The sequence below is a fragment of the Homo sapiens genome, chromosome 5, assembly GCF_000001405.40.
Source record: "Homo sapiens chromosome 5, GRCh38.p14 Primary Assembly".
NCBI lineage: Eukaryota > Metazoa > Chordata > Mammalia > Primates > Hominidae > Homo > Homo sapiens.
Genome location: NC_000005.10, coordinates 136,250,633 through 136,265,480, shown reverse-complemented (window position 1 = coordinate 136,265,480; position 14,848 = coordinate 136,250,633). Strand labels below are relative to the sequence as shown.

Sequence of the window (14,848 nt, the reverse complement as noted above, 5' to 3'; positions counted from 1 at the left end):
TGGTTAAAAAAAAATCAGTCTTAGTAGGAAAAAATTAAAAATTGCAAAAACTAAAATCAGTGACTCTGTTTATAAACCTTATCAATAAATTTTAAGATTTACATCAAAAATATGTCAATTTGATGGGAATATTTTCAGTAAAACAAGAAAAACAGAAGATAAAAAAGACAAAAAATTAGTACAGTATCAAGACTTGATCAAATAATTCAATTGGCTTAATGGTATTCACCTTAGATTTTGCTTTCTGAACAAAAATTTTAATATTGGTATAATTTTCATTATGTTTATATTCACAAACAATGAGTCAAAATGTATTCGGGTCAAATCAACAAAATCACAGTAGAACAAATACTTGAAAAGGTAACCTAACATATGGCCTGTGCTAATTAAATAATATAGCCCAAGAGTGCTACAAGAGTAGAACCACTAGAGAACATCCTATGGATGCCTAAGCTGAGACCAATTGGAAAAATGCTCTCTAAATTCGATCTCTAAATAGGCAAAGGAAGATGAGATGAATGGTTTTATCCAAAGGGTATAGGAAGGACAACCCACCAAGCTTTCCAGGGACTTTATAAAACCAGCAACCCGGCCAGGCACAGTGGCTCACACCTGTAAACCCAGCACTTTGGAAGGCCGAAGGGGGTGGATCACGAGGTCAGGAATTTGAGACCAGCCTGATCAACATGGTGAAACCCTGCCTCTACTAAAAATACAAAATTTAGCCAGGCATGGTGGTGTGCGCCTGTAATCCCAGCTACTCAGGAGGCTAAGGCAGGAGTATCGCTTGAACCCAGAAGGCAGAGGTTTCGATGAGCGGACATTGCACCACCGCACTCCAGCCTGGGCGACAGAGCAAGACTCTGTCTAAAAAAGAAAACAAACAAAAAAAAAAACAGCAACCCTGTGACCAAAGGCTCATTTAGTACAGTCACTGGCACTAAAGTTGGGAAGGGACATTAAAGTTTGTTACAGAGTTCTGTGGTCTTAACTTCACAATTCAGAATCTATCCCAGTTCTCCCTAGTACATACGCCATTGTTTAACTAAATTGAGCATTTTAACACTAGGCACTTAGAAAAAACTCACATGTTGGATTTATGAATAAAATTTAAAGTATTTACAGCACCAATCACCCACCTACCCCATTTTCCCACTTGGACCCCAGGTAGAAGACTCTGGTAAATGCAACCATACTTTCCCTTGAACAGGTGTGGCTGCTATTAATGGAACCTCTTGAATGAGGACTTCCTCCTGAGTCCTCATATTTCTCTTCCTGGGTGTCAGAGCATTATTCCAATATAAGGGATGTGTCTCTAGCTATAGGAACCCCAACTTGTATAGCTTAGTCCCTGCTTCTGACCCTCAGAGCAGAATTCAAGACTGTTAAATCAGAAGTGTTGTAGAGGGAAGGACTTATTTCTCATTGGCCTCTTTCCAGAAGGAAAATTCTAATTACTTTTTCTTTCCTAGAGAATGTTTTCAAATTTTTTATCACAAATAATTTTAAGGAAATGCAAAAAATCAAGAGAAGAGCATAATGAATTCCATGGACCTATCTCTCATGTTCAACAGTTAGCAATTCATGGCCAATCTTTGCTCCATCTATACTTCCCCCACCTCCCTTCTCTCTAACCTTGAATTATTTTGAAACAAACCCCAGCTATTGTAAATTTATTCTGTAAATATTTTTGTGTATATCACTGAAATGTAACATGTCTTTTTCCTTTTATCAGTCTTTCTTCTTTCTGTGCTTCACAGTCGCTGATATTTTTTCCTGTGGTTTTTGTGATTTTAATTTCAATCAGTGAGTTTTTCATTTCAGATATTATATTATTCAATTCTTAAAATCTTATTTGGTTCTCTTTTATATCTCCCATTTCCTTCCTCATCATTTTTGTGTTTTCCTTTAAATCCTTGGACACATTTACAATAACTGTTTTGAAGTCTTGACTCCTAACTCCATCATTTCTGTCATTCCTGGGTTGATTTCTATTGACTAATCTTGCTTCTAATTATGGATGACCTTTTCCTGCATCTTGAAATGTTTGGTAATTTTTTGGTTGAATGATGGGCACTCCGCATGTTACAGTTGTGAGCCTCTGGATTTTGTCTTCCTTCAAAGTTTTTGGCATTATTCTGACAGGCTGTTATGCCACTTGTGATGAGTTTGATCCATGTAAAGCTTTCTCACAGTGGATCTGGAGAAGGCTTACTATAAAGATTGTTTATCTTTGTACTATAGAGACACACTTCTGGGGTCTCTATTGAATGCCCTGGGTAATCAACAAGGAGTGTCAAATCTGGATGATCAGAGCTCGAATATCTCCCCACTCTGGGTAAGCTCTGAAAACGGTTCGGCTTTTAGCTCCTTGGCAGTTGTTTGTGGAGTTTCACTCTATGAATTCATGACTTGGTATTCAACAAACATTCAAAAGAACCCCTATTTAAATTTCTGGTGTCTTTTGTTTGTTTAGTTTTGGTTTGTTTGTTTCTTTGCTTGCTTGTTTTTGCATAGTACCCTTCTCTCTGGAGCTCTGCTGCACAACATCTAATCACCTCAGCCTTCCAAAACCCCATTCTGTCTCTTCAACTCAGTGAGACTGCTGCTATGCTTCTGGGATCCCTCTCCGTGCACTACAGACTGGAATGTGCCTCCAGAAAGCAAGCCATGGTGGTCATATGGTTTGCCTCACTTGTTTCCCTTTACTTAGGGATCACAGTCCCGTGCTGCCTATTTCCAATGCCTAAAAATATTATTTATGTTTGCTTTTGTTTTGTTGTTTTTTAACCTGTTTGTTACTCCATCCTGGCTAGTAACAGAAATCAGAACACTTTTCCTAAAAGAGAATCAGAAAAACATTATCAAGCCTAAAAGAAAATTAATAATTTCTTAGTATCTTCAAATATCCAGCCAATAACCAAATTTCTTTCATTGAGAGACGTAAGTTGAATAAATATCCACAAGACTCGCTTCCCCTCCTCCTTCAAATCACTGTTCAAATTTCACCTTATCAGAGTAGTTGAGCAGGTAAGAGCATGCCCTCTCATCCCTCTACTCTGATAAGGTGAAAAGCATTCCAGGCAGAAGGAACAGTATGTGTTAAAGCTGGATTCAGGAGCAAGCTGGACGTGTTCAAGGAACAGCAAAGAGACTAGTGTGGCTGATGTAGATGAATGAGGAGAAGAGAAATAGAGATGAAGTCAGAGGAGGCAGCCTTTGGAGAGTTTTCAGCACAAAAGTGACATCATACGACTTCAGTTTTTAAAGGATCACTGACTGCTATGTAGAGAATAGATGATTGTGGGATACGAGCAGAAGTAAGGAGACCAATTAGGAGGCCACTGCAGTAATTTAGACAGGAAGGAAATGGCTGGTTTGAGGAGGTGGCAGATTGTGATTACATTTTGAAGGTAAAACCAATAACACTTACAATTGGATTGTATATGGGATGTGAGAGAAAGAGAGCAGTCAAGAACAATTCCAGGTGTTTAGTTCAAGCACTGGCATATTAGAAAGCCATTTACTAAGATGGGAAAGACCCAAGGTGGAGCAGTTTGCAGGGGGAATAGAGATGGAAACCAAGACTCTAGTTTGAGACACATATTTAGACATTCATGTGGAAATGCCAAGTAGCAACTGAATATACATGCCTGAAGTTCACAGGGGAGACAGGCTGAAAACATAAATTTGGACATATCAATGCATTTAAATTATATAACATCATTGTAACTATGAATGTGGGCAGAGAACTGAGGACCAAGCCCCAGAGCACAACAATGTTTAAAGCATGGGAAGATGAGAAATATCCAGCAAAGAAGGCTAAAGTAAGAGAAGAACCAAGAGAGTGCTGGCCCAGACGCCAAAGTATCTGTGGCAAGAACCAGGGAGTGATGACAATGTCGAATGCTGCTGATGAGGCCAGAGACATGACAATCAGCTTTGGAAGCAAAGTACCTGAGTAGGCAACAGGGAATGGGATTTAGTGTGGAAGCAGAGGACTTGGCCTTAGCAGGAGTGTGAACACTTCACTCATTGTAACGGGAGAAAAGGTGGAGTTGACAGCACAGTGCAGGTGGACTGGGAGATGCAGTAGCGGGAACATGTAGAAGTTATTTTCCGATATTTTCTATTTTCTCAATTTTTTACTCAATAAATATTTTCTAGTTATTAGGCACTATATTATACATCAGGCACCGTGTCAGGTACTAGGGAAGCAGCTATAAATAGAATTAACATTATCTTGTTCTAAATAGCATCTGGAGCTCTTTAATTATTATAAAAATAGTAATAACTGAGAGATAGATTTGAGCACTGTGTTTATGAGAAGGGTCTTTGTGCTGGTGCACCCTGAGATCCAGCATGTGATTCACTCTCTGCTCAGATGTTGAGAGGTATGAGGTAGCATCAGGCCCCTGCTGATGAAGACTTGGAATTCTGCTCCTAGGCACCTCCAAGAAGGCCTCGTATCAGCTAGAAACAAAATAGCACAGTTCTTTTCTCCCATGACATACCATACTCATAAATGAAGTACTTTGAACAGACTGATTATAAAGACACCCAAACCATTACTCCCTCTTTATCAGAAGCAACTCTAGAGTTGAACCAAACCTCAGGACCCTAACAAGTCCAAAGTACTTTCAGGAATGGAGAGTTTGGCCACAAAGGGCTGAATGACCCTTGTCCAGGTCTCCTTGCTGCTGCCCCTCCCACCCCCATGACTCAGTCTGTTCTCAATGCAGGAGCTAGAGTGATCCATTTAAAACGTAATTGAGTCTTCTCATTGTTTGCATCAAGACTCCAGTGGCTTCCCATTTCCCTCAGAATGACAGCCAGTGTCATTATAGTGGCCTATGATGCTCTCACCTCTCCACTCCATCTCTATGACCTTCTCTTCCACCGCTTTCCACCTCACTCACTCTGTTTCAGCCCCCTAGGCTCTCTGCCTTGCACTGCTTCTGCCTAAGAACACTTGCCCTGGCTGTCCCCTCTGCCTGGAGAGTTCTTCCTGCATGGATCTACATGGCTCACTCCCTCACCTCCTCAGGTCTTTACTCAACAGTATCCTCCGCAGAGTGAGGCCTTTCAACCCAAGCTATTTAAATTTGCAAGTCCTCCCACCCCTACTGTCCTCCTAGTCCCTCTTTTTTGTTTCTCTGCATAACCATTAACGCCTCTGACAATACTATATGCTCTATTTTGTTTCCTGCCTGTCTCAATTAATACTGATATTTCTGTAATCACATAGATTTGTAGCTGACTCCTTTCATCTTCTGTTTAACTGTAGCCCTCTCTCCACATGGCCATCTGGTTTTCCCAATCACCTCTTTCAATGGCCACTTGTGTTGACAACAACTTACTTCCCAATCCCCTCATCCTATGGGGCATGTAGGTTGTTCCTCTTTTGATTTACAGTTCTATAGGAAGGCCAAACCCAACTGGAAATACCTTCTTCCTTTCCTCCACATACTTTGCCCAGTTCTCAGCAGAATTTTGAGAAAATTCTAGATCATCATTCCAGGATATTTAAGGTATCGGCAGAGAAAGTGAAAGCCACAAGGAGACTAAGTAGACAGAGCCAGAGAGGCAAAGAAACTCCAGGAGAACATAATATCAAGGAAGCCAAGTGAGGAGCAAGGCTGAGGAAGGAGGGACAAATTTGCTGGCAGACATATATATCCTGGAGAGCCATCAGATGAGGAAAAGACTAAATGAACCAGTGACCATTGCTCCTTCCAGCCTGGAGAATCTCTAACATCCACACATACCATAGGAATCTGTCTTTGTTGCTTGCATTATAAGCAGTGATTCTGGGGTAGATGCAAGAATAACAAGCTTATAATAAGTTTTTTGACTAGAGATTATAGCACTAGAGATGTTCATCTGAGAACTGTGTAATAATGCTAGTAGTTCCCAGAAAGCGGTCAGAAGCTTGGAAGCTAGCAAGCATCTCCATAACGCATGAGATTTCTCCATCTAGGAGTAAATGCCTGGTATGGTAGTAAAATACGTCTAAAATGCTAAATAGGAGAAGAGCTTGGGAGTGTGTCCCTTTCTCTTTGGTGGCTTTGCCTCTCTTAATGGTGGCTGGCACAAAGGTGGAGCTCAACAATGTCTGTTAAGTGGGTGAATGAGTTCCTAACCAGTGAGAGTAAGCTTGTTCCCAGTGGAGGGCATGGCAGGAGACAGCACAGTGGACAACAAGGCTCCTGGGCTGCCTGTGTGGCTTTGGACAACTTACTTGCCACCTTCATAGGTGAGTTTCTTCATCTGTAAAGTGGGGATAATTATAGTAGCTATCTATCAGACTATTATGAAGACTTAGCATTTATTAAGTACTTACAAAGGGCCTGGCACCTAGAAGGTACTCAATAATTGGGGGCTACTATATTAGAAAAGAAGAGGAGGATGAAGAGGAGGAGCTTTGTTAGAACATTTTTGATCTATTAATATTATCCTCTTGCCTGAAAAACAAATGAACCCTGAATGTGTCTGAGGCCAACATTTGTTGCAAAGGACTGCCTGTTGAGATAGTGTTTTGATGTTAGGACTTGTGGGTTCACAGCCACTAGGCATATTCTCTCTCCTGCGAGTTCAAACTGGGGACCAATGGTGAGAAGTTGGCCTGAGAGAACAGAGAGGCAGATGCAATGCCCTGGGACAGTAGCCCCTGGGGGCCAGGACCATTTAAAGAATGTACATACTTAAGTCTCACAGGACTTTGAAGGGGGAGCCCTTCTGAATATCATCTGAGGCAGGGATAGGAGTGAACTGCCTTTTAGCCTTTTAGCTGTCAAGCTCCATCTCCACAGCCTGCAGGACATTACTCAGAACCTGCCTATAAGAAGCTACTCATTTCCCTTGAGGCTTCCTGGCACTTCCCAGCCTGTTCCACTGCCAGGCACCCCTCCTTAATTATTAGTGACCTTGTTCTCTAGGCTCCAGGCATCCCTGAGTGAGGGAAATTTTGCCTGAAGGAGGCTCAAGTGTAGGGAGCAGGGTGGGGGCGCATGCTTACCCCTTGAGCCCTGGGCTCTAAACACTCCTGTGATTGACATGCTGGAGGCAAAAGGCCATGGGGCTCAGCTTGGATATAAAACGCTGAACTATCCTTGGCACTGTGGCGGCAGGGGGCCAATTTCACTCACTAAAATACTTAATTTCACACAATTCCTTTTTCATTAAGCATTCCTGCTGCCCAAACCCTTGGGCCCATGTTACTTTTACTTATGGCCCTGGAATAATTTAAATTCATCTGGGTGAATTAATATTTAAATCTAAGAAGACTCATGCAGACATTTGACCATGGAGGAAGTGATTCCCAATGTCCAATGAGAAGCTACTATATGGGTCAGAAAAGTTAGTTTTCTGAAAATAATTTGCATTTCAGATTCATAGAGCTTTTAGTACTTGAAGTTACCTCCAAACTCCAAATTCATTCATTTCAAAATATAGAATCTAAGACCCACAGCAAATCAAGGGACTTAGCCACAGTCATACTGCTAATAGGTAGCCAAGCTAGAACTTGAACCCAGGGCTTCCTGAATTAAAGCCAATCACTCTTAAGTTACAGCCTGTGACTCTCCTAGTGCCATGCTAAAAGCAGTTCCACTCAGATGTTGAGATTTTTAATTTGGGGGTAGAGGAAAGCAACAAACACTATTTTTCTATCCATTAAAAAATTTATTTTTAAAATCCATTTAAAAAATACCGGTTGCACAGTCACAGATGAAAGTGTATTTCAGTGTTAAGAAATTACTTCACTGAATTACCACAAAAATTTTGATACGGTATACTTGAGACATAGCTTTGTTAACAAAAAAGGAGGGGGCTGGTTCTGCCCTACCATTGTAGGGTAAACCTACCTGCAATTTTTTTTAATATTTCCTATTGTGGGGATTCCAATTTGATACAAATATGCAGATCTTCATTAAATAAAGCCATGATTCTTCTCCAAACAGCTGCTCTCAAATTACTTTTCTCCTTAGGAAAACATTTCAGGCCGGAAGTGGTGGCTCATGCCTGCAATCCCAGCACTTTGGGAGGCCGAGGTGGGAGGATCACGAGGTCAGGAGTTTGAGACCAGCCTGGCCAATATGGTGAAACCTCGTCTCTACTAAAAATACAAAAATTAGCCAGGTGTGGTGGCGTGTGCCTGTAGTCCCAGCTACTCGGGACGCTGAGGCAGAAGAATCGCTTGAACCCAGGAGGTGGGGGTTGCAGTGAGCTGAGATCGCACCACTGCACTCCAGCCTGGGCGACAGAGTGAGACTCCATCGCAAAAAAAAAAAAAAAGAAAGAAAAACATTTTAAATCCTTTTATTTCATGGGCCATTTTCAACAGAAAGGGAAATTTTCTGATTAAAATAGTCCCTGGGCATAGTCCCAGACAAGTAAAACTGATCAGCTCATCACTCGAATGTGCCCACATGTGGGCCTGTGAGCAAGTCAGCCAGGCTCTGACCAGGGAAGAGCCCTCATTACTGTCTACTCCCAGCATCATCTATGACACCAGGCTTTTTCAGCATCTGGACCCCCAAAGGCGATTGTTATCATGTAGGCATCTGTGAGTGTGCTTGGGTTAATGTCTGGGAAAAAGAAAGGAAGAAACACAAGCAAATGGTTGGGTGGAACTGCTGGAGGACTGTTAGGTGGGCCTGCTTTGCTAGAGTACAGGGTGTATAAAAACTGTGGAATATCATAGGAATGACAGCCTAGCTTTGGAGTCTAGACTTTATCTTGGTATTATGAGAAATACACCACAGGTATCTGAAGACAGAAGTGACCATGATATGACCCAAACTTTATGAGGTCAGAGAATAGAGTTGAAGACTAAAAGAGCAAGATGGATCTGACATCCACTAGAGGAGGATCTGCAGAACTGCAGTGATCCTTGGTGACAGCCAGAAGAGTCAGGGGTGCAAGAGTGGGAATACTGGGTAAGGATATGACACAGTGAGGGTGGGAGGGATGGGGAGGCCAGCTTGAGGGATGTAATATTGGCACTGGAAAGACATCCACTAACCCACTAACAGTAGTCTCTCTCTATGGGGGGAATTCAGCTTTGAAGTTCTTAAGGAAAATTAGGAAGATATTCATCTGTGAGACATATGCAAGGAAATGAAGGACAAAGTTTCAGGGCTAGATGCACTAACTTGAGGTCAGAGGGAAGAATGGGAACGGCCAAAAACCTGGAAAGCTGCAGCCCTTAAGGAGTGGGCAGAGTTAGAAAAGCAGCAAAGAAAACTGAGGAGGAGCAATGGGAGGGGCAGGAGGTACCAAAGAAAGCAGGCCATCATGTCTGATGAACAGGGCCGAGGGACTGCCAAAAGAGGCTATCGGTGTTAGCCTCTAGGGAGTGTGTGGTCACTGAGCTGGAATTGTTTCACTCACTGACCAGCTGGTGATTCTTTTACCACGTGAATCCCTCTAAATATACAGGTTAAGTGTAGCATTGTTCCACAACAAAGCTCTCCCAGGTCTGAGTAGTCGTAAGACTCTTTGATGACATAAAATGTTCAAGAGTCTTTTCTAACTGATTTGAGCCCAATTTTATTTCCTGGAGAGACAGAAGAGTATAGCAGTCAAGAACATGAACTCTAGGGGCAGACCTTCTGGGTTCAAATTCCAGATCTCCTGCTTCCTAGCAGGGCACATTACAACCATCTGAGCCACTGTCTCATTAGCTGTAAAAATAGGATAATAACAGAACGTACTTTATAGGATTGTTGCAAGGATTTAAGATAATACATATACACATATGGCAGTGCCTAGCACATAGTAGGTGCTCAAATTGAAACTGAATAGTTACATTTTAATACAGGCATATCTCAAGGATATTGCAAGTTCAGTTTCAGACCACTACAACAAAACAAGTATCCCAACAAAGAAAGTCCCAGGAAATTTTTGGTTTCCCAGTGCAGAGAAAAGTTGCATTTACACTATACTGTGGTCTATTAAACGTGCAACAGCATCATGTCTAAAAAAAGTGAGAACCATAATTTTAAAATTACTCTATTGCTAGAAAATGCTAACAATCATCTGAGCCTTCAACAAGGCATAATCTTTTTGCTGGTGGAGGGTCTTGGCTCAATGTTGATGGCCACTGACTGATCAGAATGGTAGTTGTTGAAGGTTAAAGTGGCCGTGGCAATTTCTTAAGACAATAAAGTTTACTGCATCAATTAACTTTTCCTTTCACTAAAGATCTCTCTGTAGCATGCAATGCAGTTTCATAGCATTTGACCCAAAGTAGAACTTCTTTCAAAATTAAACTCAATACCCTCAAGCCTTGCTGCTGCTTTGTCAACTAAGTTTACAGAATATTTTAAATCCTTTGTCATCATTTTAACAATGTTCACGGCATCTTCACCAGTAGACTCTGAAGAAACTATTTTCTTTGCTCATCCATAAGAAACAATTCCTCATCCATTGAAGTTTTATCATGAAATTGCAGCAATTTAGTCACATCTTAGGCCCTACTTCTAATTCTAGTTCTCTTATTTCCATCACATCTGCAGTAACTTCCTCTACTAAAGTCTTGAACCCCTCAAAGTTATCCGTGAAGGTTTGAATCAACTTCTTCCATTTAATGTTGATATTCTGACCTCCTACCATGATTCTCTAATGTTCTGAATGGCATCTAAAACGATAAATCCTTTCCAGTAGGTTTCAATTTACTTTGCCCAGATCCATCAGAAGAATAATCATATATGGCAGCTATGGCCTTATGATACGTATTTTTTAAAATAATAAGACTTGAAAGTCAAAATTACTCCTTGATCCACAGGCTGCAAAATGGATACTATGTTAACAGGCATGAGAACAATGCTAATCTCCTGTATATCTCGATCAGAGCTCTTAAGTGACCACATGCATTGTCCATGAGCAGTAATATTGTGAAAGAAATATATTTTTTCTGAGCAGTAAGTCTCAACAGTGGGCTTAAAATATTCAGTATACCATGCTGTAAACAGATACGCTGTCATCCAGGCTTTTTTGTTTCACTTATAGAGCACAGGAAGAGTCAATTTAGCATAATTCTTAAGGGCCCTAGGTTTGGAATGGTACATGAACACTGGCTTCAACTTAAAGTCACCAGCCGCAGTAGTCCCTAACAAGAGAGTCAGCCTGCCCTACACAGCTTTGAAACCAGGCACTGATGTCTACTCTATAGCTCTGAAAGTTCTAAATGGCATCTTCTTTCAAGATAAAGCTGTTTAATCTACATCAAAAATCCGTGGTTTACTGTAGCCACTGTTATCAATTATCTTAGCTAGATCTTCTGATAACTTGTTGCAGCTTCTGCATCAGCACTTGGTGCTTCACCTTGTACTTTTATGTTATGGAGATGGCTTCTTTCCTCAAACCTTATGAACGAACCTCTGCTAGCTTCAAACTTTTCTTTGGCAGCTTCCTCACCTCTCTCAGACTTCATAGAATTAAAGAGAGTGAGGGTCTTCCTCTGGTTTGGGCACTGGCTTAAGGGAATGCCATAGCTGGTTTAATCAATCACTCATGAGTTCACTGGAGTAGTACTTTTAATTTCCTTCAGTAACTTGTTCTTTGCATTCAGAACTTAGATGTCTGGCACAAAAGGCCTAGCTTTTGGCCTATCTCAGCTTTTGATACACATTCCTCACTAACCTTAATCATTTGTAGCTTTTGATTTAAAGTGAGAAATGCAATGCAACTCTTCCTTTCACTTAAAAGCTTAGAAACCATTGTAGAACTATTAATTGGCCTAATATCAATATTGTTGAAATACTGGGAATAGGAGGCCCGAGGGGAGGGAAAGACAGGGAAACAGCAGGTCAGTGGAGCAGTCAGAACACACAAAACATTTATTGATTAAGTTTGCCATCTTATATGGGAGTGGTTCATGATACCCCCAATCAGTTACAATAGTAACATCAAAGATCACAAAGACCACTGGTCACAGACCAACCATAATGAATATAATAATGAAAAGGTTTGAAATATTGTGAGAATTACCAAAATATGACATAGAGACCAAAAGTGAGCACGTTATTGGGAAAATGGTATCAATAGACTTTCCCAACACAAGGTTGCCACAAACCTTTAATTTGAAAAAAACACAGTCTCTGTGAAGCACAATAAAGCAAAGTGCAATAAAACAAGGTATGCCGGTAATTTAAAATAATTTAAATAGTAATAATTTAGTAATCAGTAAATGTGAAGGTATAGAATAGCATTATTCAATAGAAATACAGGGCAAGCAACAACCATGAGCTATATAATTTTAAATGTTCTAAAAGCCATATTATAAAGACAAATAGGTGAAATTAACAACATACTTAACCTATCATATCCAAAATATTAATCACTGCAACATGTAACTGATGCAAAAAATTATTAATGAGATACTTTACATTCTTTTTTCATAGTAAGTGTTTGAAATCTGGTGTGTACCTTACATTTACAGCACATCTCAAACTAGACACATTTCAAGTGCTCAGTATCCACATATGATTGGTGGCTATGGTATTGGACAGTACAGGTCTAGAAGGATACTCATCAACTATTAGCTCAGGCTACCTCACAGGGATGGCTTAGAGCAGCGGTCCCCAACCCCTGGGCCGCCAACTGGTACCAGTCTGTGGCCTGTTAGGAATCGAGCTGAACAGCAGGAGGTAAGCGGTGGGCAAGCCAGCATTACTTCCTGAGCTCCAGCTCCTGTCAGATCAGCAGCGGCATTAGATTCTCATAGGAGCCTAAACCCTATTGTAAATTATGCATGTGAGGGATCTAGGTTGCCATCCTATGAGAATCTCATGGCTGATGATCTGAGGTGGAACAGTTTCATCTGGAAACTATCCCACCCTCCACCCCCACTCCAACCCCACCCTGTGTTAAATTGTCTTCCATGAAACTGGTCCCTGGTGCCAAAAGGGCTGCTGGCTTAGAGGAAGGCTGGGGAAACTAGTAACATTTTGTTTATATACTTCTATATTGTTTAGTATGTAACAATGAGGACATATATCTTTAAAATCCAATAAGTTATGAAAGAGTAAGAAAAAATCTAATAACCCTAAATTAATGCTCATGACACAGAAATACAGAAGCATTCTAATCTGGGATTTAAAAACAAAACAAAACAAAACAAAAAACTGGGTTCTATGTCCAAAAAAAACCATAGTTCTAGGTTCTTGGGGCATTTCTGTAGAATTTGGGGCATGGAGTGGGGGGACCTTCAGAAAGCCCTTTACAATTCCTGGACCTCAGTTTCCCTATATTTAATTTAGGACTAATTGATTCTTTAAGTTCTTAAAGTTCTTAAAGTGTATAAATGTCAGCAACTGTATTTCTCCTATATTCCCTCCAAGAATCTATCAACGAATGAAAACTCTCTCCTCACTTGCAGAGACAGTGTGTTCGTAAGCACAAGGCCAAGTCTCTGAGTCTCCTGGGTCTAAATCTGCCTTTGAAAACACGTTTCTGTCTGCCTCTGGCTATCGACGGTCCCAGCTCCAAAGAGCTGATATTTACATTTGTACTCTGGTTCCCTCCATGACCTCATGCGGTCACAAATGCCAAGAGAAACGAAAAGTGAGCCTGGCCTTCTCCTTCTCCCACAGGAATGATTTGGTCCGAATGCAAGGAAATCTGGGAGGAGGGGCCACGGGAGTACGTGCTGCACTTGTGGAACCTGCTAGATTTCGGGATGCTGTCCATCTTCGTGGCCTCCTTCACAGCACGCTTCATGGCCTTCCTGAAGGCCACGGAGGCACAGCTGTACGTGGACCAGCACGTGCAGGACGACACGCTGCACAATGTCTCGCTTCCGCCGGAAGTGGCATACTTCACCTACGGTGAGTCGGAGAGTGCTTCCCCTACTCCATTTTGGCGCTTCCGGGACGTGGGCCTGGTGCTTCACTGTGGCTGGTGAACTTGTAACGCTATTTGTAATCAAGTGGCCCATGATTTGTAACACAGCCGACTTTGGCAGTTCCACTGTCAGTGCAGAGCATCCTTTCCACCTCAAAAAAACCCTTGGTCCTGGAAGTGTAGCCAGCAGAATAGAACGTGGAATTAGTGACTTTGAGAAATGAATCTTTTTGTGTTAAGGGTGAATTTGTTTCTGAAAGGCCCTTGGGAACATTTCTGTAGTTTGTTTGTTTTTAAGAAACGTCTTGTTTCTGATGTGCATCCAGGAGCGCTAAAGGGATATGTATATGCGGAAGAATTTTCCTTCTATATTGGATCCCTGTGTTTTGTGCAAAAATAAATCCTGCTTTCCTAGTTATTGCTTGGTGGCAAGATACATTCTTAGAAGATACCTTAATTACCTTAATTCTTGCAAAATGCAAAGGCTTACAGTTTGATGTAGTAGATTGAGACTTTAGGAATACTAATAATAGTTATAACATATGTTTATTGAGAACCTACTATGTGCCAGGAATTGTGTAGACATTTTATACACACAATTCTAATTCTTGCAAATAGCCCGGCAAAAAAGGGTCCTTCTTTTGTCCCTATTTTAAACATGAAGAATCAGGTTTTTATAGCAGGGCTTATAATGTTTCCAGAAAATACAGGATTGCCTTGTATAGCAGGGAATCCTGGCCTGACATGATTTGAAAATCATGCTGAATAGCATAGTGGTTATGTCCCCAAGCTTTGGAGTAGAAGAGACCTGGATTCAAATCCTAGTTCGGTAGTTTACTGTGAGATCTTGTTTACTTAACTTTTCTGAGCTCTTTTTTCTCATATGTAAAACAGAGATAATAATACCTACATCAAAAAGTTTGTTTTGAGGGCTGAATAAAATAGTGTATGTGAAGCGCTTTGCACTCTGCTGTGAAAATAGTAAATGCTCACTTAATGG

General features: G+C 41.0%; 1 protein-coding gene and 1 long non-coding RNA gene across 5 annotated transcripts in view, besides 2 other annotated features; one reads left to right on the top strand and one right to left on the bottom strand.

Annotated features, from left to right (window-relative positions):
* TRPC7 (transient receptor potential cation channel subfamily C member 7) overlaps window positions 1–14,848 on the top strand; it is a 152,801-nt gene that overhangs the window by 100,065 nt on the left and 37,888 nt on the right. For all 4 annotated transcript variants that reach the window (NM_001167576.2, NM_001167577.2, NM_001376901.1 and 1 more), the window contains one exon: window positions 13,599–13,832. In NM_001167576.2, coding sequence (NP_001161048.1) covers window positions 13,599–13,832 — 234 coding nt within the window. The remainder of the gene's footprint in view (window positions 1–13,598; window positions 13,833–14,848) is intronic.
* TRPC7-AS2 (TRPC7 antisense RNA 2) overlaps window positions 1–14,848 on the bottom strand; it is an 89,446-nt gene that overhangs the window by 50,620 nt on the left and 23,978 nt on the right. The gene's annotated exons all lie outside the window — the stretch shown is intronic.
* Window positions 13,777–14,277: an enhancer, noted in NCBI's record as "H3K4me1 hESC enhancer chr5:135586892-135587392 (GRCh37/hg19 assembly coordinates)". NCBI's record gives its function as "activates a minimal SCP1, AML or CMV promoter by ChIP-STARR-seq in naive H9 embryonic stem cells {active_cell/tissue: H9 hESC(naive)}" and the evidence as "EXISTENCE:reporter gene assay evidence [ECO:0000049][PMID:30033119]".
* Window positions 13,894–14,094: a silencer, noted in NCBI's record as "peak5482 fragment used in MPRA reporter construct". NCBI's record gives its function as "represses an SCP1 promoter by STARR-seq MPRAs in K562 erythroleukemia cells {active_cell/tissue: K562}" and the evidence as "EXISTENCE:reporter gene assay evidence [ECO:0000049][PMID:32103011]".